This window comes from Homo sapiens, chromosome 1 (genome assembly GCF_000001405.40).
Source record: "Homo sapiens chromosome 1, GRCh38.p14 Primary Assembly".
Classification (NCBI taxonomy): domain Eukaryota; kingdom Metazoa; phylum Chordata; class Mammalia; order Primates; family Hominidae; genus Homo; species Homo sapiens.
The window spans coordinates 27,392,321-27,418,629 of NC_000001.11; the positions used below are offsets into that span (position 1 = coordinate 27,392,321).

Genomic DNA, 26,309 nt, shown 5'->3' on the forward strand with positions numbered 1-26,309 from the left:
GCCTAGCCGGGCCCCCTTTCCACTCTTCCACCACGTTCCCTGCAGCCTCTCTGAGACTTCAAGGCTCTCGCACCGGCGCCTCTGAAACCCCCGGCCCGCAGAGGGCGCCGCGTCAAGGACAGCGCGGGCGGACTCGGGAGGGGGCGGGGCCGCAGCCACGGTCGCTTTTTATGAATGGGGGAGCGGGCGGTGCGAGGCCTTATTACTATGCCGCGCAACGCGCGCTGCGCCCCAGCGCGCCGCGCCCATTGGCTGATCGGACCGCTGACGTCACCGAACCGGTGGCCGGGGGCGGGGCGGGGTGACTCACGCCGCTTCTCCCGCGGCCGCGGGGGCTTCTCGGGGTCCACGCACGCCCTGCGCCGCCAGGACCCGAGCGGAGCCTCCCCGCGGCCCGGCCGCGCCTGGTCCTGAGCGGTGAGTAGCGGGCCCCGCCGCGGGCACCAGGGGTCCTGAAGGGCACGCAGGATGCTGGGGCACTGGGCCGGCGGAAGGCTCCTAGTGGCCGGCCGGGGTTCGAGTTCGAGGTGGGAATTCTGGGTTTAGGCGATTCTGGGTTAGCAGGCTTGGGCCCAAGTGCTCGAGTGCTGGGGTTGAGTTGGATGACCCGGCGAAGGGTAAGCATTCCTGCAGGGACCCGAGGCCCTGGAGGGACTGATGGTCATCTGAGGTTAAGCCGGCAGGAGGCGTCTGGGGCAGGGACCCAGGGGTCCGAACAGCAGGAGGTGTCCAATTTAGGAATCCAGGTATCCAGGCAGGAGGCAGAGTCAGGCCCAAAATCCAGGTGTCCGGGCAGAAGGAGGCATCTGACTCAGGGATCCAGTCTTCCAGCAGGGGGGTCTGCCCAGAGACCTAGAGATTCAGGCGGAAAGAAGGGTCCAGCCAGGAACAGAAGTCTGGGAGGGTGGGGGGTGGGGGGCTGAGTTCCCAGGTGTTACCGCGGGAGTGCGGGGTGATGGCTGGCGGGAGCTTCACGCGCATTCCCTGGGGGCGGAGTCTAAGGCTGGCAGTACTGAAAATCGTGAGGGGTCTGGGAGCCTCAGGCACGAGCTAGCATCATCATCTCTGATGGGAGGGAGCGGAGCTGCTCAGTCTCCCTGATGGGGTAGATGTTTCCCTACCCCAATCTTGAGCCTTCGGGGGCATCCCCTGGATCCTATGGCCCTCTTCCACTTATAGTACCCCTTCTTCTGTCTCTCCTCTGGTCACACACGTGGGAAAAAGAGACCTGCAGGACCTAGGACAGGGATCCCCAGGAAGAGACCCCTGTTTAGAGGCCTGGGGGCATTGGAGGGGACAGCGGTATCCTGGGAAGAGCCCCAGGGCATGAATGTGGGGATAAGGCATTGGGACCCTATCAGGTATCCTGAGGAGAGACTCCCACCACGTATCCTGAGAAGCACCTCACCCCCTCCAGACCCCAACTCCCATCACCCAGCTTGGTCAGCTTCTCACAAGGCCTTTCTCCTGCAGGTACCATGATGTGGGGTGCAGGCAGCCCTCTGGCCTGGCTCTCAGCTGGCTCAGGCAACGTGAATGTAAGCAGCGTGGGCCCAGCAGAGGGGCCCACAGGTCCAGCCGCACCACTGCCCTCGCCTAAGGCCTGGGATGTGGTGCTCTGCATCTCAGGCACCCTGGTGTCCTGCGAGAATGCGCTAGTGGTGGCCATCATCGTGGGCACTCCTGCCTTCCGTGCCCCCATGTTCCTGCTGGTGGGCAGCCTGGCCGTGGCAGACCTGCTGGCAGGCCTGGGCCTGGTCCTGCACTTTGCTGCTGTCTTCTGCATCGGCTCAGCGGAGATGAGCCTGGTGCTGGTTGGCGTGCTGGCAATGGCCTTTACCGCCAGCATCGGCAGTCTACTGGCCATCACTGTCGACCGCTACCTTTCTCTGTACAATGCCCTCACCTACTATTCAGAGACAACAGTGACACGGACCTATGTGATGCTGGCCTTAGTGTGGGGAGGTGCCCTGGGCCTGGGGCTGCTGCCTGTGCTGGCCTGGAACTGCCTGGATGGCCTGACCACATGTGGCGTGGTTTATCCACTCTCCAAGAACCATCTGGTAGTTCTGGCCATTGCCTTCTTCATGGTGTTTGGCATCATGCTGCAGCTCTACGCCCAAATCTGCCGCATCGTCTGCCGCCATGCCCAGCAGATTGCCCTTCAGCGGCACCTGCTGCCTGCCTCCCACTATGTGGCCACCCGCAAGGGCATTGCCACACTGGCCGTGGTGCTTGGAGCCTTTGCCGCCTGCTGGTTGCCCTTCACTGTCTACTGCCTGCTGGGTGATGCCCACTCTCCACCTCTCTACACCTATCTTACCTTGCTCCCTGCCACCTACAACTCCATGATCAACCCTATCATCTACGCCTTCCGCAACCAGGATGTGCAGAAAGTGCTGTGGGCTGTCTGCTGCTGCTGTTCCTCTTCCAAGATCCCCTTCCGATCCCGCTCCCCCAGTGATGTCTAGCTGAGTCTTCATGACCCTTCAACCCTGATTACTACAGAATTCCAGAATGTTAGGCTCTCCAGGGCTTCTTTCCAAACCCCCAGCTCCACACCCCCCAGACCCAGCTGGTTCTGGAGTTCTAGGACATTGGGTGTTTCAAGGTTCTGTTCAGATCCCTATGGGGGCCCAGCTGGCTCCACGGTTCCAGAATGTTCAGGTGGTCAGTGTTCTACTCAGAAATGTCTCACAGCCCAGCTGGGTTGCAATTCCAGAATGCTGGGAGTTTTACAGTGCCATTCCAAGTCCCAGATGTCCCTCTTCCCCCAAACTTGACCTTGACCATGTCACTTTATGTTTGAATTTCTGAGCTAAAGAGTCAGAGAGATTAGTCACATAGTTGCCTAAATAGGAGAGAGAAAGATTATATATGCACATATACAAAGACAGTGTCTATTTATGATTGATTTATTTATTTATAAATTTACTTATGGGTGGTAAGGGGCAAAAAAGAGGCCCACACCTTGATATCCAGGCCATACCAGGGTATCCCTTGTCCCTTCACCCCCATTTCTGACCTCAGTTCCTGGAGGGGGGAAAGGGTGAAAGAGAAACCACGTATTTTGTTATTATTTTGGATTATTTTTTATCGAAGAGATCATAGAAACCAGAGCCTTCTCCCCAGGCCTGCCCTCCTCGGGTTTGGAAGGGGAACACACCAGCCTCTGGTTTTTTATTTTTTTAAGAAGCCATCACCTGAGCAACCAAAAATTCCTCTGCGCTGGGGTCCGACTGCCCTCTGGTGGCCATTTGGGGAAAACTGCAGCCCGGCCAGGCAGCTGGGACCAGAATGCAACCCCAGCTCCACTCCAGCCTGGCGTCCAGGGCCACAGCCATGGCCTGGGGGCCAAGCCTCACCCTGCGGTGCCCTAAAGGAGGGGGGGCACGAGCCAACACCCCACCCCTCTGCCAACCGGGGTATGGCCCCCAGTGCATTCCCTGTTCCCGTCTCCAACCCAACTCAATAAAAAATGATTTTGTCATAAATATGTTTCCCTATGTGTGTGTGGAGGGTATGGAGTGGGGCCTGATGGGGGATGGCCTGGAATGAGAGGGTCAAGCCAGGCCTGGGGGGCCTGTTGGGGGATCTGGGGAGCTGGACAGAGGGTGGAGGGTGGCTGGCAGGTGACTCCTTCTCAGATGTCAGTGCCCCTCTGCTCAGACCTGGGCACTGACTGGCAAGGACCTTACCTCCTCCTGGTGACAGGAACCTGGGTGCTTGGCTCTTCCTGGGTCAAGGATGCTCACATCCTGCCCACACCGGCCACTGTGGGGCTTAGACATGATGAATATGCTCAAAGCATGTCAGTTTCCTTAATAATAATAGGTCCTACTTTTTTTTTTTTTTTTTTTTTTTTTGAGACAGAGTCTCGCTCTGTCCCCCAGGCTGGAGTGCAGTGGCGTGATCTCGGCTCACTGCAAGCTCCACCTCCCGGGTTCACGCCATTCTCCTGCCTCAGCCTCCCGAGTAGCTGGGACTACAGGCGCCCACCATCACGCCCGGCTAATTTTTTTTGTATTTTTAGTAGAGACGGGGTTTCACTGTGTAAGCCAGGATGGTCTCGATCTCCTGACCTCGTGATCCACCCGTCTCAGCCTCCCAAAGTGCTGGGATTACAGGCGTGAGCCAACGCGTCTGGCCAATAATAGGTCCTTCTAATCATGGGTGCCTACTGTGTGTCTGGCACACATGCTACCTCGCTTATGCCTAATAAGCATCCCATGGCACCGGTAGTGTCTTCTCCATTTTACAAACGAGGGAGCTGAGGCTGAGTGAGGGACAGCAGCTGGCCCAAGGCCATACAGCTAAAAAATGGTAGAGCCAGGAACATCTGTTTCCAGAATCTGTGCTGTGTAGTGAGTGATTTCCTTCCTTCCCAAGCCTGGAGCTTAGGACATTCTGGACCCTGATTTTTTTTTTTTTTTTTTTTTGAGACAGAGTCTTGCTCTGTTGCCCAGACTGGAGTGCAATAGCGTGGTCTCGGCTCACTGCAACCTCCGCCTCCTGGGTTCAAGCGATTCTCCTGCCTCAGCTTCCCAAGTAGCTGGGATTACAGGCACCTGCCACCACGCCTGGCTAATTTTTGTATTTTTAGTAGAGACTGGGGTTTCACCATGCTGGCCAGGCTGGTCTCGAACTCCCGACCTCAGGTGATCCGTCCGCCTCAGCCTCCCAAAGTGCTGGGATTACAGGCGTGAGCCACCGCACCCAGCTGGACCCTGATTTATTTTGGGGTTCATTTTTAGGGCCACATTTGGGAAGTGGTCGGAGGGGGTCTGGTCATTTTGGAGTCAGAAGAGCTTTTCTACGCAAAGGTGAGTGACTATCAGTGTGTGCCTTTGGGGACATATGTGTGCAGGACCCAGAGTTTGGGTACTTGAGGAGAGGAAGCTGACCCCAGAAAGAATGTGTCTATCAGGCCAGGGCAGCAGCAGGTTTGGGGTGTGGCTGAAGAGGAAGCTTTGATTGGCCAAGCCTCCCAGCTTCCCAAGCCTTATTTTTGGGCAAAGCTTGGAGGTGGGGCTCTTGGAGCATTTCTGGCTCACCCCTCCACATACAGACAGGAGCCCGAGGCCCAAAGAGGAGCAACCATTTGCTCAAACTCGCACAGCTGTGCCAGGCTAGGACACAGGCCTTTCTCCATTTCCCTGGCAGAGTTAGAGCCCTTTTGTCTGGTGTAAAGATCCCTCCCTTGGCCAGGTGTGGTGGCTTACGCCCGTAATCCCAGCACTTTGGGAGGCCGAGGCGGGCAGATCACCTGAGTCAGGAGTTCGAGACCAGCCTGGTCAACATGATGAAACCCTGTCTCTACTAAAAATACAAAAAATTAGCCGGATGTGGAGCCTATAATCCCAGCTACTTGGGAGGCTGAGTCAGGAGAATCGCTTGAGCCCGGGAGGCAGAGGTTGCAGTGAGCTGTGAGCCAAGATCGCGCCATTGCACTCCAGCCTGGGCAACAGAGTGAGATTCCGTCCCCACCCCCCAACCAAAAAAATCCCTCCCAGTAGTCTGAGGAGAGTCGTCATGCCAATAGGCCCAGGCACAAAGCAGGGAGGCCGCACCAGGTCAGGCCAAGCTTTATTCTATCCCCACCCTCCTGACAGGTCCCTGGGAAAAGTCCCTACTCAGCAGGCCCCTCCCCCACGCCAAACATTCCATACCATCACCGTGGCTTTGTCAAATGGGTACCATTGCTCCTCCCCATTTTACAAAAGAAGAAGTTGAGGCTCCAAGAGTAATGGGCCTTCATTCATTCACTGCTGTCCTTGTGGACAGCTTAAATTCTAGCTGGGGGAAATAGTAATACAAAGTTTTTCCCAAAATGTAATATTACACAGTGGTAAGTCCTCAGAGAAAGAGCAGGGGAAGAAGGATGGGGAGGGTGTGAGTAATTTTTAAATTAGGGTGCCCAGGAAAAGCCTCCCTGAGAGGTGACATTGGATTGGTCCAAAGTCAGAGGGTTGGTAAGGAGTTGAGCTGGGATTTGAACCCAGGCCCATTTGACTCTAAATCTCTTTCTTTCCTGGATGAGGGAGCGTGTTTCAGGAACAACCCAGAAACATCAAGCAAGGAAACTGGGGTAAATCCCCAGGCTGGGGGAAAGCAGGGGGTCTCCAGGTTAAACCCAGACCTCTGGAGGCACAGCACAGGGCAGGGCCTTGTTGCTGCCTCCACCATCATGCTCCTGAGGAGCCCCACCAAGGTCCAGAGGAGAGAGGCCAGGTGCCCGTCCTACCCTGGGTGAGTCTCAGCCCTTTGCTTCCCCAGCCCAGCTTCCAGCTCCAGGGCCCAAGAAGGGACCTGCCGCCATCCTTGTGTCTGGGAGGGCCTGTGTCGGGCCCCTGCACTGAGGGGCTTCCTCTGTCTCTCTGGGGGTGGCTGTGGGCTGGAGCTGAGGTGTTTCTGGCAGACTGGATCTGGGGTCTCTGCTTTGGGTCCTGGGCCTACCTTGAGGGGTGTTTGAATCTGTCCCTCAGGTTGGTTCCTGTGTGTGTGGTGGGGCTGGCTGGCTTTTCCCTCCTCCCAGGATTCTGCAGATCAGCTTAGCACTTCTTCCCAGTACCTCCACTCCATGCTTCCTCCAGGAAGCCTCCCTGCCTGAGCCCTTTTGTAGCTGTGAGAATGTGATCCATACAATATGCCTTACTACACCTCCCCTGAGTAAATATTTGTAGAGAAGTCTTCCCTCCCTCCTCAGAATGAAGACAGGGCTGTGTGTCCTTCCTCCAGTTGAGGGTTCCTGAGAGAAGGGATGTCTGTCTGCTCAAACCGAAGGCTCCTGAAGGCAGATCTTTCTCTCTCCTCAGAACTAGGGGCTCCTGAATACAAAGTCATGTCTCTCCCCTCAGGCTGGGAACTTCTGAGAGCAGAGCTGTCTCCTCCCTTAGGCTGGGGGCCTCTTGAGAACAGGGTCATGTCTTTTGCCTCAGATTGAGGATCCCTGAGGGTAGGACTGTGTCTTCCCCACTCAGACTGAGGCCTCCTGTGTCTCCTTCAAGCCTCAGAGTCCTCTGGTGCCCACAGCCTGGAGCTGCTCAGCACCGCATGCTTTGTGTGTGTGTGTGTGCGCGCGCGCCCGCGCATTTGCTTGTGTGTAATTGGGGAGGGGTAGCCACACCTCCCAGCCTCTCTGCCTCTGACAGCTTTCCAACCCCCATGCCTGATCCCTCCCAACTACAGGGGTCCAGGAAGGTCAGCTGGTGACGTGGCCCCCTGAATTGGGGGAGGCAAGGCTAGGGCCAAGAGCCCCACCTTCCTGCTGGGGTAGGCCCTGGGATGGGGCTGGAGCCCATCTCTCCTCCCCGCCTCCCTTGGTCCTATGTGGGTGTGTGGGGGCAGCCCTGAGTGCTAAGCCCCTGCCGGGGCCATGTCCGCCTCTCCTTGCAATAAGTGAGGAGACAGTAGCTATTAATATAAGATGAGTTCACGGGCTCACAGCTTCCGCAGGCTGGAAAACAGGCTCCCGGGGCTGGGGGCTGCGGCAAGGCTCGGCTGTCAGATTCCCTCCTGGAGCCTGGAGACCGCCAGTCCCGCATCCCCCAGCTCCTTCCATGCTGAGACCTGCGTGCACAGACACACACTCATGTCACATGCAGGCACACATGTATAGGCACCTGGCTGTTCTGAGAACACACACACAGGCAGACATGTATGTAGGTATACCCAGATGCACCTGCACACTAGCACACACACACTTGTGCACACAGATACATCACTGCACATGTGTACACTGACCATGTCAACTTTCTGTGCATATTTAGTGCTGAAGCACACACTTCAATGTACATGCCCTTGCACACATGTACACACCCTTGTGTGTGTGTACACAGGCACAACAACCATGTATGCATACCTAAACCCATTAGCACAGCCACATATACACAAAACCGCACTGCATATAATGTCCATAGTCATGTATACACATTTGCATGCAGCACCAGATTCAAGGACTTGAATGAATGCATGTGCACGCCCTTTCACACACAGCGTACACACACTTGCAAATGTTCCCCGCTGCTGGCAGTGCTCAGCAATCCTGAATTTACAGGCTGACCCTCGGTTTCCAGAACCAACGGGCTGGCTCAACCTCCGCTCCTTGTCTTCCCTCTCTCCTTGCGTCATCACAGGCAGCTCATGGCCCTGCCAACCCCAATGCCTGCCTTCAGCTTCCCGCCCCCCGGGGGGCCTCCGATCCATGATTAACCCCCTCGCTAATTGGCCACCAGCCCCTTGACTTTGCTGCAGGCCTTCTCAGGAGCTGGGAGCAAGAGGCTGCAAATTGGCCAAGCAGGATGGGTCTAGGGAATACTGTGCATGTTGAGGGTGAGGGTGGGGGTACTGCAAGCCCTGCATTGTGACTGGCTGGAGCCAGGTAGTGCACCCCCTATTCCAGGGCTGGGCAGAACACTGGCTTCATACTCTCTTGGGAGGGCACTCCTATGATTCATTATCTACACAGTCACCTGAAGCCAGCCCTGCATGCACATTTACACACACTCACCAGCCATGTGTGCAGACATATTCCACCCCACTTGGCACACTAACAGGTGAACATCTGCACAGACCCAAGTACACTCATAAATGTACCAAGTATGCATGCAAGCAAAATTTCATATGTTCATAGTCACCCGCCAGATATGCAGACATCATTTATATATGTACATCCAAACACACGAATGCAGTTGCATGTATATGGGCTCACAAACACATACACTTACACATTACACATGCCCATGAAGGTTCTAAGTGTGCTTGCAGGCATGCACCAACATCCAACTACTATCCACATTATGATTTATACATGTGGAGTCCAGATATGCATGCACATCCATCCATGCACACCGCTCACATGCGTGTATATGCCCTGATGAACAAGCTACCAAATGGCCGCACGCTAGGGAGAACCCTCTTTAGCTAGCCTCTGGCTTTACATAAAAGCTTGAGGTTTGCTCAGTCTACTGGTGGGGATAGGGAGTGATGGAACCCACTCAAGTTCCAACCTGTCTCTCCCCAGCCTCCTGGGGAGAGGTCCTGGGACCTCCTCTGGACTCCCCCTAAGCCTTCAGGCAGCCACATGGACCCTGTCATGGTTCCAACACAAAAGGCCAGAGATTCTGGCTTCCCTTGCAGTTTCAGTCTCCTTGGCTGTGGCTCAAGCCCACAAGGTGTTCTGCTCTCTTGTAGGCAGTCTAGGGCATTGGAAAAAAAGTTTCTATTTCCATGTCTGCTGCTAGCTTGCTGTGTGACTTCAGGCAAGTTGCTGTGGCTCTCTGTATCTTGTTTCCTCATCTATAAAATAGAACAAAAGGCGTTGTATTTGTAATCCTTCCAAGACACACACTCTGGGAGCGGCATCAGTTCCCAAGATGGTGCAACGCCAGAGTGGAGGGGCTACATACATCATCACAGTCAACTCTTTGTTGAATAGGTGAGGAAGCTGAGGCCCAAGGTGGGAGCTAGATCTGACCTCTGACTTCTCAGCCAGGAAGTCTGCTCCTTTTTAATGATGTGTGCAGTGTGAGCTCGTGTGTGCATACCGTGGACATGCACGGACAGCTTCTTAGGTAAAGGCAGGGAAGGCAGCTAGGCAGGACCCCTTGCCCCAAATATTAACCACTCTCCCTGTCATCAAGGGACTGGCAATTCTCCCATAAAAGATTCCTTTGGATGTGAAAGGCTTATTTATTTATTTATTTATTTGAGATGAAGTCCCGCTCTGTTGCCCAGGCTGGAGTGTAGTGGCACAATCTCAGCTCACTGCAGCCTCCACCTCCCGGGTTCAAGCGATTCTTGTACCCCAGCCTCCCAAGTAGCTGAGACCACGGGCGCACGCCACCAAGTCTGGCTAATTTTTGTATTTTTAGTAGTGACGGGGTTTCACCATGTTGGCCAGGATGGTCTTGAACTCTTGACTTCAAGTGATCCACCTACCTTGGCCTCCCAAAGTGCTGGGATTACAGGTGTAGGCCACCGTGCCTGGCCCATGAAAGGCTTTTTGTCCTTAAGCTTCAAGAGCACCCTTTAAGCGCCCACACCTCCTGGGGCTGAGGGGCAGTTCAGTGGGAGCACCTGAAACTGCTCCCAGCCCCATGATCTAGGAGGGAACTGGTTGACAACTAGCCCCGAGCAGAACTTCCAGGAAATGGTGCCAGGTTGCCCTGGCCACTGGGCAGCCAGGAGGGGGCAGTGAGGAACTGGTGGAGGCAGCAAGTAGGGAGGGCGGCTCCCGAGGAATGTGTGAGGGCTGCCTGCGATTATGGGTTCCTGAAATCATGTGCTGGTTTGTGTCCTTGTGCAAACAACAGGGATCTGTGCACGATATGTGCACCGGTCCTCATGTGCCCACTCACGTGTCTCTGTGAAGCCCCAGCCCATACCTATAGGGAACCCACTTTCTTCTTAGGTAGCCAAGGGTGCAGGCACTTCCTGCTCTAAAGGTCTGGGATAGCCAGGCCCTCAGCCAAGCTCACTTGATTTCAAAGCGAGAGCAAAAATGACCATCACCGTTCACTGCCCTTATAAAACTGGGCACCAGGGAGTGGGGCAGGTAAGAATGGAAACCTTTAACAGGCTCCCTACAACGTTAAAGCCCTCAATGATTTTGGATGGAGACTCAAGCCGTTTCAGTTGCATGGTAAACAGAGCATTGGGCTCTGGCTAGAGAGAGGCCTGTGTTTGAACCACGTTCTGTTCCTGGCCAGCTATGTGATCTTAGGCAACTGTGAATCTGTTTCTCTTCTGTGTAAAATGGGGGACCCTTGCCTCTTAAGAATGAAATAAAAGATATGCAGTCTTTGGCAGGTAGTGGGCGCTCAATAAATGCTTATTCTTCTCAGGATCAGCCCAAGGAGGTGAAGCGACTTGCACAGGGTCACAGCTTCCGAGTGGCAGGGCCAGAATTCAAGCTCAGGCCTCTTGCTTCCCAAAGCCACATTCCTTCCCTCCAATTCCCTAGCAAGGGCGGCTCCCGAACCACCATTTTGTCTTCTGCCAGGGCGGGTGTCTGGCTGCCTGTCAGTCACCGGCCTAGGGAAGCCAAGTGCTGACTAAACACAGGCCTGAGCAGGCGGGTGGAGCAAAGGGGCTCTGCAAGGGCGAACTGGCTCCGCGGCCCCCTTCTCTGCACCACCACCTCCAGCGATGAGCTCAGAGCGGCTGGCGCAGCAGTTGCTGACAATTCAAAACTTCTGCCGCCTCTCCTGGGATGCCAGTGGGTGACTCTCTCTCCGAACAGCAGGCGTGACCCGCAGTCACCAACTCTGCTCCCGCCCCTCTCCCGGGGGCCACTACACTGTGTCTGCTGGGCCCGGAACTGGGTGTCTGCTCATAAATTACCCCCAGGGACAGTTACCCGCAGCAGCTGTGCTCGGAACAACCGTTGCTTCCTGGGTAGGTCATTTTTTGGGTCAGAATACAAACCCAGCCCCCTCGCCTTCCTCAGGCAGGAGAAGGGGCGTGCAGCAGCCTAAACCTTTTATCGGATTCCATTGTAAATCGTTCTATTTAAGGTAAGTTGCTTGGGTCTGAGAGGCAGACAAGATGCCGGCCAGATGTTGGGCGCAGCATCAGCATTCAGCCTGTACTCCTCTCCTGCCTGATGCAAACAGTTGCCAGCAGATTGTCTCCTGAGGCCCCAGCACACCCCCTTTCTCATGGTGAGAAGGGGACTGGGTATCTGGGTCTGCAGGTCCTCCAACCTGGGTCTCCTCCTAAACTGAAATGGTTTCCAGCCTTCTCCACCTCTGCACACAATGCACTTTCCACACCCAAAAGCCTCCTGCCCTTTAGGCCCACCCACACTGGAGCCCCTCCTGAGCTCTGGCCACCACCTGTGGCTGTTAGTGTCATTTCCTTCTAATCTCTTGTCCCATTAAAACAATACCACAAACACCAGAGGTGGCTGAGTGGCTACAAAGACTTTATCAAATTATTTTAAATGTTGGCATTTAAGTATTCATGTGTATACAGTTACATGGAACCTTCAGGTCAGTGGGGCACAAATGTGGTATACACACGATGAGCCTGGCAGGGAAGCAAATGAGACCAGGCTTGGAGCTACAGGGATTTAAAAAAATTGGATGTCTTTCTGAGGGTCTGAGAAGAATAGGGCAGAAGAGGAAAGGGTCACTTTAGGGGTCTGGCTTAACCCACTGCCTAGATCTCCAACTGAAGAGCTCCTTTCCCATCCTCAGGGGAAGAGTGCCTGTTTTCAAACGGCATCCCTACTACACATATACCCCCCTTCCCTAAAATCTTGATGTGGCAAACACACCCAAGAACCCACAGGAATATGTCCTTATAAATATGTTTGTATCAGAGAAAACAAGGCACTTTGGGAGCATTATGGCTTACTCTACTACATGTACATCATTCTAGACAGAAAGTAAAAACTGGTTAGTTCCTCAAGTGAATTAACTGAATAAACTTAATACAATAACAAAATTGTTCCCTAACCCACACTGAGGCACAGTTAAAGGGAACATGGTAGGAGGCACAGAAGGAGGCACAGAATGAGGCACATCTCTGCGCGACACCTGGTCCCAGGTCAGTTGGACCCCAGCAGGGCTCAAAGCCTGATGCCTCCAGGAAGCCTGACATCTCTCATGAGCAAAGCCCCCTGGCCTTGGAGCACTGGCTCCCTCCCTCCCCATACCCTGAAGTCAGGTGAGGGGCCGCAGTGGGAGGCAGTCCTAGAGCAGAGCTGGGACACGGTGGGAATGCTTAAGCAGGGTCACCAAAGCCACAGAGACCTCAATCTGTCCAAGCTGGCACTGCAGAGTCAGAGGATGGGCGCCACGGGAAGAGATTTCACATTAGCCGTGACAACACCGCCTCGGCTCTGCGTTGACATTGGCCAGGGTCGTTTCTGAGGGCGCTCGGGCTTCCACTGGAGGCGAGCTGGAGCCTGGGCCAGCTGCTCTGAGCCTCCAAGGGCTGGCTGAGCCTGCCCCCTCCCCCAGGCTGCTCCTTTGGAATGTACCCATCTCACAACCAAGGCAAAGCCACAAGTTGCTTCTGACACTATTGGAAGCTGGGCCCCAGGGCCACAGGAATGGGGGCAGGTCCCTTGGGCGGGGTGAACCAGGAAGGGAGGAGGCTCCTTGGCTTCGGCGCTTAGGAGTCCTTATGGGCCATTGTTCCATACTCTCACTAGCTTAGGCCCAGATTAAATAATCACTAAACTTTGCATTCTACATTACGTGAGTCCAAAAACAGGATTACCTGCATTGGGTCCTTTATCATCTTAAAGGGCTCTGGGTCTAAAGAAGCCTTTTTTTTTTTTTTTTTTTTTTTTTTTTTTTTGGTGCATATGCATAAGTGGAGCCCAGAGGGCCTCTCGGCTCACTGGGTCCCCGGCCCCCCGAGCTGAGGAGGCTTCGCAAGGCCGGCTGCTACAAAGTGCCGAGCTTGGCTGCATAGATTTTAATGAGAGCGTCAGGCAGAGCTGTGCTGTTGCTCTCCGGGACTTGCAGATCATTACCAAACCAACTGTAGGATGAGAACATAGCACATCGAAACCCTAGGAGGTCACTGAGCTAATGATCTAATCCTACCTTCCGCAGGCAGTGCCCCTCCCCACCTCCTCCTGCCCCCAGCCCTTTCCACGATGGACTCAGTCCATTCCAGAAGCCAGGCCAACACCGCCCCCTTCAAGGTCAGAGCAGAATGACAGTGAGTGGCTCTAGCTCTCCCTTTTCCGGGCAAGGAGGATGGGGGTAATTTAGTCAAAGCCATTAGGCCCAAACCCTGGCCTGGCCAGGCCCCAGGTCTCCTATTTGGGAGAACCACTGCCCTCTGCCTGCCTCTCCAACTACTGCTGGGCTGCGGCCCAGGCGCCTTCAACGACCATTTTAGGGTTCTGATGAAAGCACCTTCGGCTTCTAAGGTGCAGGCTGGGAAACAAGGTGGGGGCCCACATAGCCTGGTGTCTCAGCATGGAGCTTAGTGCCAAGTCCTGTGCCAGAGACACCTGATGTGTAAAGAGGGAAGAGGGCACACTTGGGAGTGGCCACAGCAAGACGGCATGCTGTCCCCTACAGGCTCAGTCCCCACACCCTGAGTTCCAGGAAAGAAGGCAGAGGAGAAGCGGCCAGCAAGGGCACAGAGGCAGAACCCATGACTATACACTCTCTCCTCAAGCCGGAGGGCTTTATGAGGGCTTTGGCAATTACTACAACCATTTGCTGTGCTGGGTAGGGACAGATCCTGTTTCTCTTTGTTTCAGGGCTCTGAAAGCCGGAGAAGCCAGCAGAAGCCGATTTCAGCATAAGAGGCTACACAATAGTTAGGGCAGAAGAAAAGAAACCTCACTGTTGGCTAGAGCTGACCAGTTTTTTTCTGAATAATAGCACCTGTGTATTAGCTCTGGGAAAAGCGGGAAGGGAGGGAGGGAGGGAGCGAGCTTCACCATGTGCAGTGAGGGGAGCTGGAAACAGGACCTGGAGCCCCTCTGCCTTTCAGCCTGCTTCATGGCTGCCAGGCACCCCCCACCCCCAGGCAGGTACTGGCATGGCTGCCAGCCTGAGGGACTGAAGTTTCCACAGTTGGCAGAATCTTTGTTTAAATTGGGGAAATAAAAGGGGGAGGAGTTGCAGAGGAATTGAAAGCAGCACCTGTCAAAGCTGCCTATCCCCTTCCTTCTCTCACTACTTCTGGTCCCCCAGAGAGGCTGGTCCCAAGGCTATGTGGTTGGCTGGTGACAGAAAAGGGGCAACAAAGAATGACAAGAGAGGCTATGAAGGTCTGAGCAGCACCGACAGGGCTGGCACAGACCCTGAGCCTTCCTACTGGGACCCCAACCTATGGTGAGGTCTGGAGTAGCAATACAACTGAGAAAGCTCTGCCCGGACTCCAGCAGGTGCCCATTCTTTGGTCCCAGAAAGCACAGGTGACTTGGAATCAGGAACTCTGCGCTCTAGCTATGTCACTATCCAATTGTGTGACCTTGAGCAAGTCACTTCCCATCTCTAGGCCTCAGCATCCTTAAAGGGTGAGACCCACGGGGCTCCACTGTTCTTCCAGTCCTGCAGCTCCAAGTCTTCAGGCTTTGCTCCTGACAGCCAGAAGAGGCCCCTGTCCTCATGTGTCAGGGATAGTTTGGTCATGGATACTAGAGGTTAAAACTGGGCTGTGTTGCCTGAAGGTATCTAGAGGTGGTGGTGGTGCATCCTGAACACCATACTCACCAAAGGGATCCTGGGAGGGAGGCAACAACACCAGCCTACAGAAAGGCATCATTTTTGGGCAGAGGAGGTGAGACATTCTTTAGAGGCTTGATGCCTCCTGGAATAAAGGGCATCCCAGGCATAGAGATCGCTTAGCAAAAGGCAGGCCCACCCTGCTGATTAGGGCAGAGGGTGAGGCAGTCTGGCCCTTGGACCCTTCGGCCTACTCTGCCCTTTCAGTGCGCGGGAAAGGGGTCAGCTGTGTTCATTCAGACCACTCCCCGTTTTAGAACCAGAAGGTGGCTGGCATTCGAAGTGGCTGAGGGCACAGGTTTTAGAAGGCTGTAGTTGAATATGGCTCCTAAGGGAAGCCCCATCTCCAACAGAAACCCGATCAAAGGAATCTGCTTTGGGATTTCTCCTTCCTTTCAATATGCAACAGGCACTTGAAGGAAAGAGGGAACATCCCAGCTACTGAACCTCAGGAGCCCCACAGGGCCTGAAAATGGGGAGAGGAAATACATGTTGACTTGGAGGAAGCACTTGGATATATCTTTGGTTGCTTCAGGGAAAGCTTTGGCCCCTTAAAATTACTTTTTTCCTCCCTTTTCTCCCCCTACGGGTCTGTTGGGGTTGGCATCAAAGAAGGCAGGTAGGAAGGAAAGAAAAAGAAGGTGGGCAGCAGGCAGAAAGAGTTAATCGGACCAGTCGTCCTCATCAAATTCAGAGGAGTCATCTTCTGAGTCACTGTACTCAACAGCAATGCGACGAGACAAGATGGTGGCCACGTCATTGCCCACAACATCCCGCTTCTCTTGTTCCCGCTGCTCCTCAACCCTGCGCAGCTGAAAACCTAGTGGCAAAGAGACAGAAGGGTGAGGAAGGCGTGTCCTCAGCCTTGGAATCCATCTGGAACTGGGTAAGAGGGAGTGGCCACCAATGGGTAAGTGGTATTGGAAAGGATAGAGAAAAAGAAGGTTGTTATGGAAAAGCAGAAGAAGATGAGTTTATGAAATTGATGGCCCTGATGTCACAGGTGTGTCTGAAAGGCAGCCTGCTGTCCTTTCTGGTTTACACACTTTCAGGCTGGTGAGGACTTCTCATAAGGCTTTGAAGTGGGGAGCAGCCACCACATTCCATCTAGCAGACCCTCAGCCTGCCCAATTCCATCAATTATAATGGGGCTCAGCTGCCATAGACTGTCCTCTCTAGATTAGAAGTTTTTTGAGGATCACAAACAGAACAAACCACGATAACACCTTGGGACCAGACCTGGCCCCTGATAGAATAAATGCTCCAATGTTCCAGGAGGGTGAGATGATGAAGGGGGAGGGAAGGGGAGGGGAGGGAAGAGGAGAAAAGAGGAGATAAAAGAAAATGGGAGAAAAAAGGAGTTAGAAAGAGGGCAGGGGGCAAGGAAGGAAGACACGAAGGGCAGAGCAGTGGAGAAGGCTGGGGAGTTGCTGAGTCCAGTTGAACAAGGACCCACTAGGACAGTGATTCTTGTTTTTTTTCGAAGGCACAAAACCCTTCGGAGAAACTGATGAAAAATGGGGATCCTTCCCCAAGGAAAAAAAAATGCATGCAAACACACATAAGCATATATTTCCAAGGACTTCAAAGATCCCAGCTTAAGAATCCTTTACTTTGGCCGGGCGCGGTGGCTCACGCCTGTAATCCCAGCACTTTGGGAGGCCGAGGCGGGCGGATCACAAGGTCAGGAGATCAAGACCATCCTGGCTAACAAAGTAAAACTCCATCTCTACTAAAAATACAAAAAAATTAGCCGGGCGTGGTGGCAGGCGCCTGTAGTACCAGCTACTCCGGAGGCTGAGGCAGGAGAATGGCGTGAACCCGGGAGGCAGAGCTTGCAGTGAGCCGAGATCGAGCCACTGCACTCCAGCCTGGGCAAAAGAGCCAGACTCTGTCCCCCACAAAAAAAAAAAAAAAAAAAAAAAAAAAAGAAAAGAAAAGAATCCTTTACTTTAAACCAAGGTGGAAAGAAATCTAAATCTCCATATTTTTAGGGTGAAGCCTTTTCTCAGGCTGCTCCCAGGCCTAATGTCCCAATCTCTCCCCACCCAATGAAAGCCGTTTCCTGGGAAGGGCACAGGGACCCCCTCACCCATCCCCCAATCAGTCATCCCAGCTTCAGAAAGACAAGGCTCCACAGTCCCAAACCCACCATTGAAATTTACCTTGACGGATGGCTGAAAGCAGGTCGCTACGGGCATCGCTCACGGCAGGCAAGGAGGACTTGGGCTTGGTGGTATCAGAAAGCGGTGGTGGTATAGCAGGCTGGCCATCTGCACCAGTGAAAGGGGGAGGAGGGGGCCCCGGAGGAGGAGGAGGAGGGGGAGGAGGAGGTGCTCCTCCTGTTGGCTGGGACAAGGGAGGTGGTGGCAGAGTTGGGTAGTCAGCTGCTGGTGGTGGAGGAGGAGGTGGAGGGGCAGCAAAATCAGGGTGAGGTGGGAAAGATGGGGGTGAGGGTGGTGGAGGCGTCCCTGGAGACCCAAATCCTACAGGCGGTGGTGGAGGTGGGATGCCTATCATTGGAGGCGGAGGTGGCGGAGGGGCAGGTGGTGGAGCAAACCCGGGTTTAGGGCCTGGTGGAGAGCCTAGAGGAGGAGCTGGTGGTGGATGGCTTGGGCTGACCACACTGGATCTTTTGGGTCCAGCCAAACCAGATCCTCTTTGGTTGTCCACTGGGTAACTAAAAGGCCAAAGAAAAAAAGACTCACCATCACCCTTAGAATGCAGACACCTATCTACAGTTAGCCTTGTCTACAGACCGAGGTTTATCTTGGTTGACTATACCATTTCACTTTCACTTAAACAGAAAGAAAAGCCTACAGATGGTCATAACAGACCAATAATGAAATAAGCAGCCTTTTAAGGTAATGAGCTTCCCACCAGTAGAGGAGGATAGACAGATTGAGTAAAACTACCTGCAAGAAGTGGACTTGAGATTCCTCTATCAGGTACAGGCTAGCTGAGACATCTCTTCGGCCCCCTCTGCCTTTCCAGCTCTAAGGGGAAGGCACCCTCCCTCCCCTTCCCTAAGAAGGATGGTCCATGGCAGTTGCTAGTTTAATCCTGGAGCCAGTTTAAGGGTGCATGCAAGAAAGAACTGGAATAAAAATTCAAACACCACCCACACACTAGGCTCTGTTTCTCAGGCTATTAACATTCACCAGCATTGGAGAGGGCAGGAAACCCAAGCCAGGCTGACCACACCTGAGTGGGATATAGATTTAGGTGAATGCATCTTCAGTGCTCATGTGGGGAAATCTTGAGAGAGAATGAATCTCAATCCGAGAATCTGCAGAGATGGGAAATGAATGTGCCACCAGACTCCTGACCCAGGCCTGAAAGAGGATTAAAGCTACACCTCTCCTGGGATCAGATTTGCTCGGCTGCAGCTGCAAGGTCTCAGGCCATGTGTGAAGCTGAAGGTTTTCTTTTTCCACCTTTGTATCTACCCTGCACTAACAGCTACTCCTTAGAAAAGCAGCCATTTTGGAATTTTCCACAGACCTTCCAGCCTTAGCTGCATCTGACAGGGCCACCAGCAGGAAGTGATTTGGGAAGCAGAAGGAGATTTGGGATTAATGGTTTCTAGGGCCAAGAAGAATGAGGGGAGAGAAGGAGGACAGCACAGCTTTAGGTCTCCATCCGAGGGGTCCTCAACATACTCAATTTCTAATTAAGAAGTACCCAAGGAGAAAAGTGCACCTTTCAAAGCTCTCATTTATCAGGCATCAGAAAGGACAAAAGTAACGGAGAAAACAGTGCAATCTGAACAATTCTCAGATCTCTTTTCAGTCATTACTGCCTAACACTTCCACTGTACACCTCTGCCAGGGACATGCACAAATATCAAAATGGACGAATTTGGAGTTTCATCCCCCTTTTCCCTTTGTTTCATTGTTTCTGGAGATTTGACACAGCAGTGAAACTAACCAGAAGCACTAAGAGGAAGTGACTCTATGCTAGGTTCCTAGACAACTGGGCAAGGTAACTGCTAACTATATCATGGACAGCAGATTGTACCACTTCATTTCATGATGAGTTAAAGCTAAGGAAAAGGCTGGGCATGGTGGCTCATGCCTGTAATCCCAGCACTTTGGGAGGCCGAGGTGGGCGGATCATGAGGTCAGGAGATCGAGACCATCCTGGCTAACATGGTGAAACCCTGTCTCTACTAAAAATACAAAAAATTAGCTGGGCGTGGTGGTGGGTGCCTGTAGTCCCAGCTACTCGAGAAGCTAAGGCAAGAGAATGGCATGAACCCGGGAGGCGGAGCTTGCAGTTAGCCAAGATCGCGCCATTGCACTCCAGCCTGGGTGACAGAGTGAGACTCCGTCTCAAAAATAAATAAATAAGTAAATAAAATAAAGTTAAGGAAAAAACAAGAAAGAAGCTGGTGATTTCCATTTGTTTCGGTATAGGCAAAACAGGAGTAGTTAAGAATATAGGTTCTGGAGTTCAACTGACCAATCAGGGCTCTGCCCTTACTGGCTGTGACCTTTGGGTCATTTCATTGACCCCTCTGTGCCTCAGTTTACTCATTGTAACATGGGGATAGTAACAGTGCCTACCTCAAAAGAGGACTCCTATGAGAATTAAGCAACATATACATACAGTGTTAATTATTTCTATTATCTAGACAGTCTTGTTTGAAGTTATTTTAGTGGTCTTGACCTAGGGTTTTAACTTTTTGTTTGTTTTTGTTTTTGGTCTCGCTCTGTCACTCAGGCTAGAGTGCAGTGGCATGATCATGGCTCACTGCAGCCTTAACCTCCCAGGCTCAAGCGATCCTCCCACCTCAGTCTCCTGAGTAGATGGGACCACAGGCGTTTGCCACCATGCTTGGCTAATTTTTTTGATTTTTAGTAGGGATGAAGTCTTGCTATGTTACCCAGACTGGTCTTGAACTTTTGGCCTCACGAGATCCTCCCACCACCTTGGCCTCCCAAAGAGCTGGGATTACAGGCGTGAGCCACTGCTCCTGGTCCATTCTTTTGTTCTCAAGTGTATAACTACCAATAGTGGATGGAGTAGGTACCACCATTTACCTGAATTCTGCTGGTGGAGGAGGCAAGTTGTCCTCGGAGAAGGAAGGAGAAGGTGAAGAAGCAGAGTCTGACTGTGGTGGTGGCGGATAGCTACTTGCATCCACGTTTTCAACACAGCCAATGCTGCCATTCTGGTACACCAAAGTGGGTGGATACCTGACAATGAACCGAATGCCAAAAACTGTCATTTAAAGAGCCTGAGTGGGTTTTTTCTTCTTAAAAGGTACTACAAAAATGCATTTGATACAAAAGCTATTAGGGAGAAGTAAAATAGGTATATTTCCCACATATTTTCTGTTACACTGAAATTTTATTTTAAGACTAAATATTCTATTGTCAAATATATCCCAGATATTTATGCTGAATTGTTTGTAGTAACAGGATTCAACCCAGATTATCAAAACCATGCTGTTCCTTGCCCAGTGTTGGCCTTGTCAAACCCAGCAGTTCTTTTAAATTCTCTCCCCAGTGTCAGGTGCAGATATACCTGAATCCCAAAGTCTGTCCTGTGACAAATGTGAAGCCAAGTCTCAGAGGCTAGTGAGCTGCAAACACGTGACTGGCACACAGACTGATTTTGAGGTCAGCAAGCCTCTGGAGAGCTCGAAGGCCAAGGAGGCACTGGATTGCAAAATCAAGCTGAGGATGAATGCAGGGTGCTATGTGGTAGTAAATGTGGTCTTTCTGCCAGGTCTCTTATCAAACCAAATGAGCTGACGATTAAAGTAGCGTGCTAGGGCTTGTCTCATGAAAACCTGTCCCTCAGTGCACTGGGCCTTGGGTGAATTTGTTCTGGGTGAACAACAACAAAACTTCAAACAAGCACAAATACACCAAGCATCAGCTAGCAAAATCTGGCCTGCTCTGCTCCACCTCCCCCTCTTTCCACCATTGTTGGGGTCTAAAGAACTCATCTAAAACAGACCTCAGGGAGAACAGAGTTGGAGAAAACTAACTGAATCAAAAGATGCTCTGATGTGGAAAATCCCCAAGGCCTGGAGCCCTGGAGCCTTGGCACGTCTCTTTATAGGTTCACCAACAGGCATGTCCAGATAGACTAACCATGAAGCCCCAACTCCAAACCGCCTGGACAACAGGAAAATGGAAGGCAAATCCTCATCTTCCTACTCCACAAAAAGAAGACACACATGGGTAGCTGGCATTCTGAACACATAAGCTTCTGGCCTTAGAGTCATTGAACCTATGACAAGTGCCTGTCTGAACAGGATTGGTCCGTGGAACAAAATGTCCCCCTTTACTGGGAGGTGAAGGTAATGAAGGTACCCTCAGGGCTGATTTCCCAGTAGAGAAAAAGGTTCATTTTTTCCTTTCACCATCTTCATCACTCTTTAAAGCAGATCTCTTAATCCACGAAGAACAAGTGTCAGAAGTGTCAAGATTTTTAAAAGTCAAGATTTTCATGGTAGAGTTATTTCTAAAAGCAAGAACAACTCAACTCTTTCCTTTTATCATTCCTAGACACCCAGCATGGGCTGGCATGGTTCTCTGACAGCCATGATGCAGTGTATTTAGAGAAAAAACCAGGGCGACATTCATGCCAAGCAGTCATGGTGACTTGGCTTTGAATGTCAACCAGGTCAGACACCAGGATAAGCATCAAACCAAGCTTTAAAACCATCTTTTTCCCCCTTTAAACCTCCAGTGTGATTTGGTATTGGGAAATGGGGTCAGACTGACACCTCTTATTTCTCCACAGAGATATATAGCCTCAATACTGGCCAAGCAACCTTTCCCACACTGTCTATGAGGTCTGCATTCAGTCCCTTGGCTAGCTTCTCTCCCATGACTGACAAAGGCTGACTGAAAAGTTGCTTTGGTGATGTGAACAGCTTTCTTGCCTAGCCCTCCCCAGCCCTGAGAGTGAAATGCCCAGTTCTTAGGCATGACCTTCAAATCAATGCTCTGGAGGCAAAGGATTCCCAAGACCACTTTTCTTCCCTTTCCAATCTTTCCTCTGGGGCCCTTAGATGTGTATCTCGCAGAGTAAGGGCACTAGGAGCCATGGGCTTTCTTTTCCAGACCACTCCAATCACCTCATTTAAATTGCTGAATCTCTTGATTTATTTAGCAAATTTTCATCACCAGATGGATGCACTTTAAAGTAGCTGATTAACAGTGGTATTGATCTAAGCCACAGAGACAGACTTCAGGGGGTGTGAAAGGTGTCACACCAGAGCTGTCAGACTGTTGTCCCCAGCCCCTTCAAAGAATGCTACCAACAGTACAAAGGCATTACCTACCCAGAAGTCCCCAGCTTTTCTTTGGACTCCACAAATTCTTGCCCCATCTTCATTTTCTCCCACTCTTCCTTACGTGTCTTGATTTTACGTGGGTTTACATTCCCTCGATTTGGATTATCTTTCTTTTCTTTCTATAATGAAAAGGAACAGGAAGGTCTTTGTAGAACATTTTCCAAGTTCTTCATTAAAATTCTACCCATCTTCATGGATGCGTATCTAAGAGATAATCTGCCTAGACAACATACAATAACTACAGAACTTACAGAATTACTGGGTTTGAAGTGACCCAGAGGCCATCTAATCCAAACCATCCCCGGGTGAAACATTTGCTCAATCCCACACTCAAATGCCTCCAGCAACGGGAACCCCACTTCCTCTTTGGATAACTCATTCACATTTTTGAAAAGCTCTAATTGCTAGATGTTAGTAAACAGCTATTTATTATTTGCTCAGCCCCAAAGGTCAGTCAAGAGAGATGAGATGTAATGAGACCTGCAGTTATCTGGGGCACATATAAGGAAATAGTTTAAACAAAACAAAACAAAACAAAAATCAATGAAGAATTTTTCCGCCTGTGCAGCTGCTCTTGCCCCTGGCACTCTCTTGGGCCTCCTGGCAGCCATGCTAATGGGACTGAGGTTGCAACTGGTAGGTCACATACATACCAGGAAGAGTCTATGGGGAGGGAGAATCTTCAAAACCTACATATATCCCCCCACCCTAGCCCCGCCCAGCCCGTAGCGAAGGCATTAAACTGCTCCTGTTGCAAATCAAACACTGCAGAACCTTGTGCTGATCTCTGAGAAATGAGCTGCAAAACTAGTGGAGAAGGGACTAGCCTAGCTTGAGTGTCCAGCAGAGTCAGGTGCAAATTGCAAGAGAAATAAATGGTGAATAGAAAAGTCAATTTCTAAAACTCAGCCTGAATATACTCAATTGTTAATAGCACTGGGGGGAACAAACACATTTTTGGTATGATTTATACTTTCATCTTGGTTGTGCTTGGTGTGGACACATTTTTTTAAGAGTTTCACCTGGCATCCAAGCAAGCAGCCACTTGAAATGATTACTTCACATAACACTGGCTTCCTTTTTATCCCCCTCCACAATCGTGCCTACTGATGTGGAGAACAGAGGCCCCTTTCCCCTCACCCTATGCTTTCTCTTCTCTTTCATGATATCCTTGGTGTCCTGCAGCATCTTCTCCTTCCAAAGATCAAAGAAGTATGAAGGGTCTGTGTAGAATTTGAGTGCCTCTTTTCCATCGTCCCTGGGATAGAAATGAAGACAAGTAGCTGTCAGTAGACAGATGAGCTCCCAACCAAATCCAATATTCCAAACACCTACCAGTTAGCAGTTTTTACACCAAGGAATCAAGAAGTCATTTGAATCGATTGCATACCTCCTCTCCCATACCAGCATTTCAATGCCCCCGAATGGCACCTCTCTACTTATCAGACTTTTTAAGAACCTTAGCCTTACTTTCAATTCCTGGTAGATGAATTTGCATTGTCAGGGCAAGTACAGGTGATAGCAGCAGGGATCCTGATTACTTCTGATGATCTGCATGGCCACAGAGATCTCCCTGAGGATATTCGGATTTCCTGGTACATCAGAGGGGATTTCTACCACTGGTTCCTCTTTTCCCACCAGTTCCCCAAGGACTCTCTAGAAAGCATCAGTAGCTTCCCACCCACTGGAAACCTGTGTGCACATGTGGGAGTTCATGTGTATGCATATGTACACATATATACGTGAAAAGTGTGTGGTTTACAGCTGTTATTTCTCTGCACACACAGAAAACCAACCACAGCACTCCACCTTCTTGCTCCCTTCTAGAACAGCTCAGCATCCACATACACCCCAACCACAAGAGGGCTCCAGTGAGAAAAGATGGCCAGCTGTTGTAAGACCACAAGGTTTAATCACCAGCTTCTAATTAATGGCTGTGCCAGTGGGACAGAGTAAACTACTTAGTGTCCATATAAGGGCTATCTGCCAGATTCAATGGTCCTAGTTGGAATCTTGCATTTTGGCATGGATAAGGTCCTCTCACTATCCAGAAAGGATGTGCTTAGGAGTGAACATTTATCTTAACATTATTCTGAACTAAAAAGAACTGGAAAGGCAATTCTATTCCCTACCCTCCAATCCTATCACAACACAGAAAGCACTTCCAAATCAAACATTAATAATTTCTATATTAAATCTTCTCCTGAGTTAGATACACCACCACTCATTTCTGTTAGGCCAAGTTCAGATAACTGAGAGGCCACGCTAATTCTGACACTGTATGCTAAAAAGAAAAATACCATTAACTGAAGAATAAAATTCTCCTAATATCATTTGTTTATGCAATCCCACCACACAAACCCTATGTTATACTCGCTACAATATTATCAGTTGTATGACCCCTTTCTGCCCCACAACCCCTCTGCCCAAACCCAACTAGACTCAATAACGGAGGCTGCAGAGTCAAACCTCTGTCCTGCTATGCTGGTCCCTTTGAAAGCCAAGGGGCAAACATAATTTTACAAGTAAAATGAAGGACAGATGCCATGTACTTTATATCTGTGTGAGAAGGCTCCCTGAATCTGACTGGTGTCCTTGAATTTCACGTGGGTACACACACACACACACTCTACCTTGCAGTGTACACATGTCTGATAGAAGACATCTGCCTCCAGCTATCTGTAATTACTTTTTACCTGCTCCAAAGATATATATGGGTGTAAGCAAGATAAATATTCACCTTCTGCCCCTCTTCAGTGGTTTTTTGCAGGATGACAAAACTACCAAACCACTAGAGGAGAGGGGCTTTGTCTATAAGGCTACCTTCTTTTTCAAGTCCAGGCACAGCAGAGTAGGTCCTTACAGAAGGAAATGTCCAAAGGATGTTCAAAACAAAGTGAACGATGCTCATTTGGAAGAATGCGAATTACTCCTTAAGCTTTGGAAAGACCCCTTTGGGCCCAGAGCAGCCAGGCCAAGAGGCTGGCCCCACTAACACACCCAAACATCTGGTAATCTAGTGGTTTCCAAGTAAGTGGGAGCCTTGCTAGAATGTTGCCCCTGGGATCCATGCTGTAGGACCGCCTTGTAACAAAGTCCTTTTGGTTCTATAATAACTAAATTCCTTGGATGGAATCCAAGATGGACCTGGCTTATATGAAATTAAACTCTGTAGCATGCAATGGTTACAGTAAACTTTCAATATGTATTATATTCACTATGAATTTCAGAAACCAAACAATAATAAGTGACAATTTTTATGGTGTAAATTTTAGTTTCTGCTGCCACAGAAACTACCACAACTTTGGGGTAGGCAGTAAGCTTTTAGATACAATCCTCTGATGGAAACAACCGCTTCAGACAAAAAAAAATCTAGCGTTATTAAACCATAGGTTGAAAAAGGGAGGAACTAGCCAGCCATTACCTGTAAGGGGTAAGATTGTTGAGAGGGGGAGGAGTATCACAGGTATTGTATGTTTCTAAGACAGGCACTGGGAGAGAGTTTCTGTCAAAAAGCTTCTGGTCTTGAATGGTGGAACTTCTGAAGGCTTTTCGGGTGTTGATTCCTTGCAGTGACACTGAGAGAAGATGGAAGGCGTTAGAAAATGGACGACAGGCTATTTGAGCAAACACTGAGTCACACCAGTCGGAGAGGCCTCAGCTGCTGCACTTCTTGGCTGTGGCTGTCCGCAGCCAGGCTTTTTTTTTCCCTCCCCCTCTGGGGAAGCCCCACAAGGCTGTCAGCAGCCCAGTCGTTTCACGACTGAACAAAATGAGGCAACACA

The 26,309-nt window shown here is 51.1% G+C and overlaps 2 protein-coding genes across 3 annotated transcripts in view, besides 8 other annotated features; one reads left to right on the forward strand and one right to left on the reverse strand.

Annotated features, from left to right (window-relative positions):
• Positions 6 to 505: a silencer, noted in NCBI's record as "silent region_515". NCBI's record gives its function as "represses an Ori minimal core promoter by ATAC-STARR-seq in GM12878 lymphoblastoid cells {active_cell/tissue: GM12878}" and the evidence as "EXISTENCE:reporter gene assay evidence [ECO:0000049][PMID:35858748]".
• On the forward strand, positions 302 to 3,494 carry GPR3 (G protein-coupled receptor 3). Its single transcript, NM_005281.4, has 2 exons — positions 302 to 417; positions 1,474 to 3,494. Exon 2 carries the CDS (start codon positions 1,479 to 1,481, stop codon positions 2,469 to 2,471), a length of 993 nt encoding a protein of 330 aa, NP_005272.1. The 5' UTR covers positions 302 to 417; positions 1,474 to 1,478; the 3' UTR covers positions 2,472 to 3,494.
• Positions 529 to 1,064: an enhancer, noted in NCBI's record as "H3K27ac-H3K4me1 hESC enhancer chr1:27719353-27719888 (GRCh37/hg19 assembly coordinates)". NCBI's record gives its function as "activates a minimal SCP1, AML or CMV promoter by ChIP-STARR-seq in naive H9 embryonic stem cells {active_cell/tissue: H9 hESC(naive)}" and the evidence as "EXISTENCE:reporter gene assay evidence [ECO:0000049][PMID:30033119]".
• Positions 1,893 to 2,690: an enhancer, noted in NCBI's record as "H3K27ac-H3K4me1 hESC enhancer chr1:27720717-27721514 (GRCh37/hg19 assembly coordinates)". NCBI's record gives its function as "activates a minimal SCP1, AML or CMV promoter by ChIP-STARR-seq in naive H9 embryonic stem cells {active_cell/tissue: H9 hESC(naive)}" and the evidence as "EXISTENCE:reporter gene assay evidence [ECO:0000049][PMID:30033119]".
• Positions 6,827 to 7,779: an enhancer, noted in NCBI's record as "H3K4me1 hESC enhancer chr1:27725651-27726603 (GRCh37/hg19 assembly coordinates)". NCBI's record gives its function as "activates a minimal SCP1, AML or CMV promoter by ChIP-STARR-seq in naive H9 embryonic stem cells {active_cell/tissue: H9 hESC(naive)}" and the evidence as "EXISTENCE:reporter gene assay evidence [ECO:0000049][PMID:30033119]".
• Positions 10,073 to 10,152: an enhancer, noted in NCBI's record as "active region_547". NCBI's record gives its function as "activates an Ori minimal core promoter by ATAC-STARR-seq in GM12878 lymphoblastoid cells {active_cell/tissue: GM12878}" and the evidence as "EXISTENCE:reporter gene assay evidence [ECO:0000049][PMID:35858748]".
• Positions 11,193 to 11,262: an enhancer, noted in NCBI's record as "active region_548". NCBI's record gives its function as "activates an Ori minimal core promoter by ATAC-STARR-seq in GM12878 lymphoblastoid cells {active_cell/tissue: GM12878}" and the evidence as "EXISTENCE:reporter gene assay evidence [ECO:0000049][PMID:35858748]".
• The window catches only part of WASF2 (WASP family member 2), an 85,938-nt gene continuing 71,538 nt past the window's right edge, over positions 11,910 to 26,309 (reverse strand). The window contains exons 4-9 of one of the 2 annotated variants that reach the window (NM_006990.5): positions 25,949 to 26,102; positions 23,665 to 23,782; positions 22,513 to 22,643; positions 20,252 to 20,407; positions 17,372 to 17,886; positions 11,910 to 16,026 (exon numbers count right to left, since the gene is read on the reverse strand). In NM_006990.5, the coding sequence (NP_008921.1) occupies positions 15,869 to 16,026; positions 17,372 to 17,886; positions 20,252 to 20,407; positions 22,513 to 22,643; positions 23,665 to 23,782; positions 25,949 to 26,102 (1,232 nt within the window). In that variant the 3' untranslated portion in view covers positions 11,910 to 15,868. The remainder of the gene's footprint in view (positions 16,027 to 17,371; positions 17,887 to 20,251; positions 20,408 to 22,512; positions 22,644 to 23,664; positions 23,783 to 25,948; positions 26,103 to 26,309) is intronic. The other variant, NM_001201404.3, reaches the window with a different exon arrangement.
• Positions 12,885 to 13,179: a silencer, noted in NCBI's record as "tiled region #8314; K562 Repressive non-DNase unmatched - State 14:Gen5'". NCBI's record gives its function as "represses a minimal TATA promoter and a strong SV40 promoter by Sharpr-MPRA in K562 cells {active_cell/tissue: K562}" and the evidence as "EXISTENCE:reporter gene assay evidence [ECO:0000049][PMID:27701403]".
• Positions 25,966 to 26,145: an enhancer, noted in NCBI's record as "active region_549". NCBI's record gives its function as "activates an Ori minimal core promoter by ATAC-STARR-seq in GM12878 lymphoblastoid cells {active_cell/tissue: GM12878}" and the evidence as "EXISTENCE:reporter gene assay evidence [ECO:0000049][PMID:35858748]".

Coding starts and splice junctions, on each gene's coding strand:
- GPR3 (NM_005281.4), top strand. CDS start 1,479: ATGATGTGGGGTGCAGGCAGCCCTCTGGCCTGGCTCTCAGCTGGCTCA.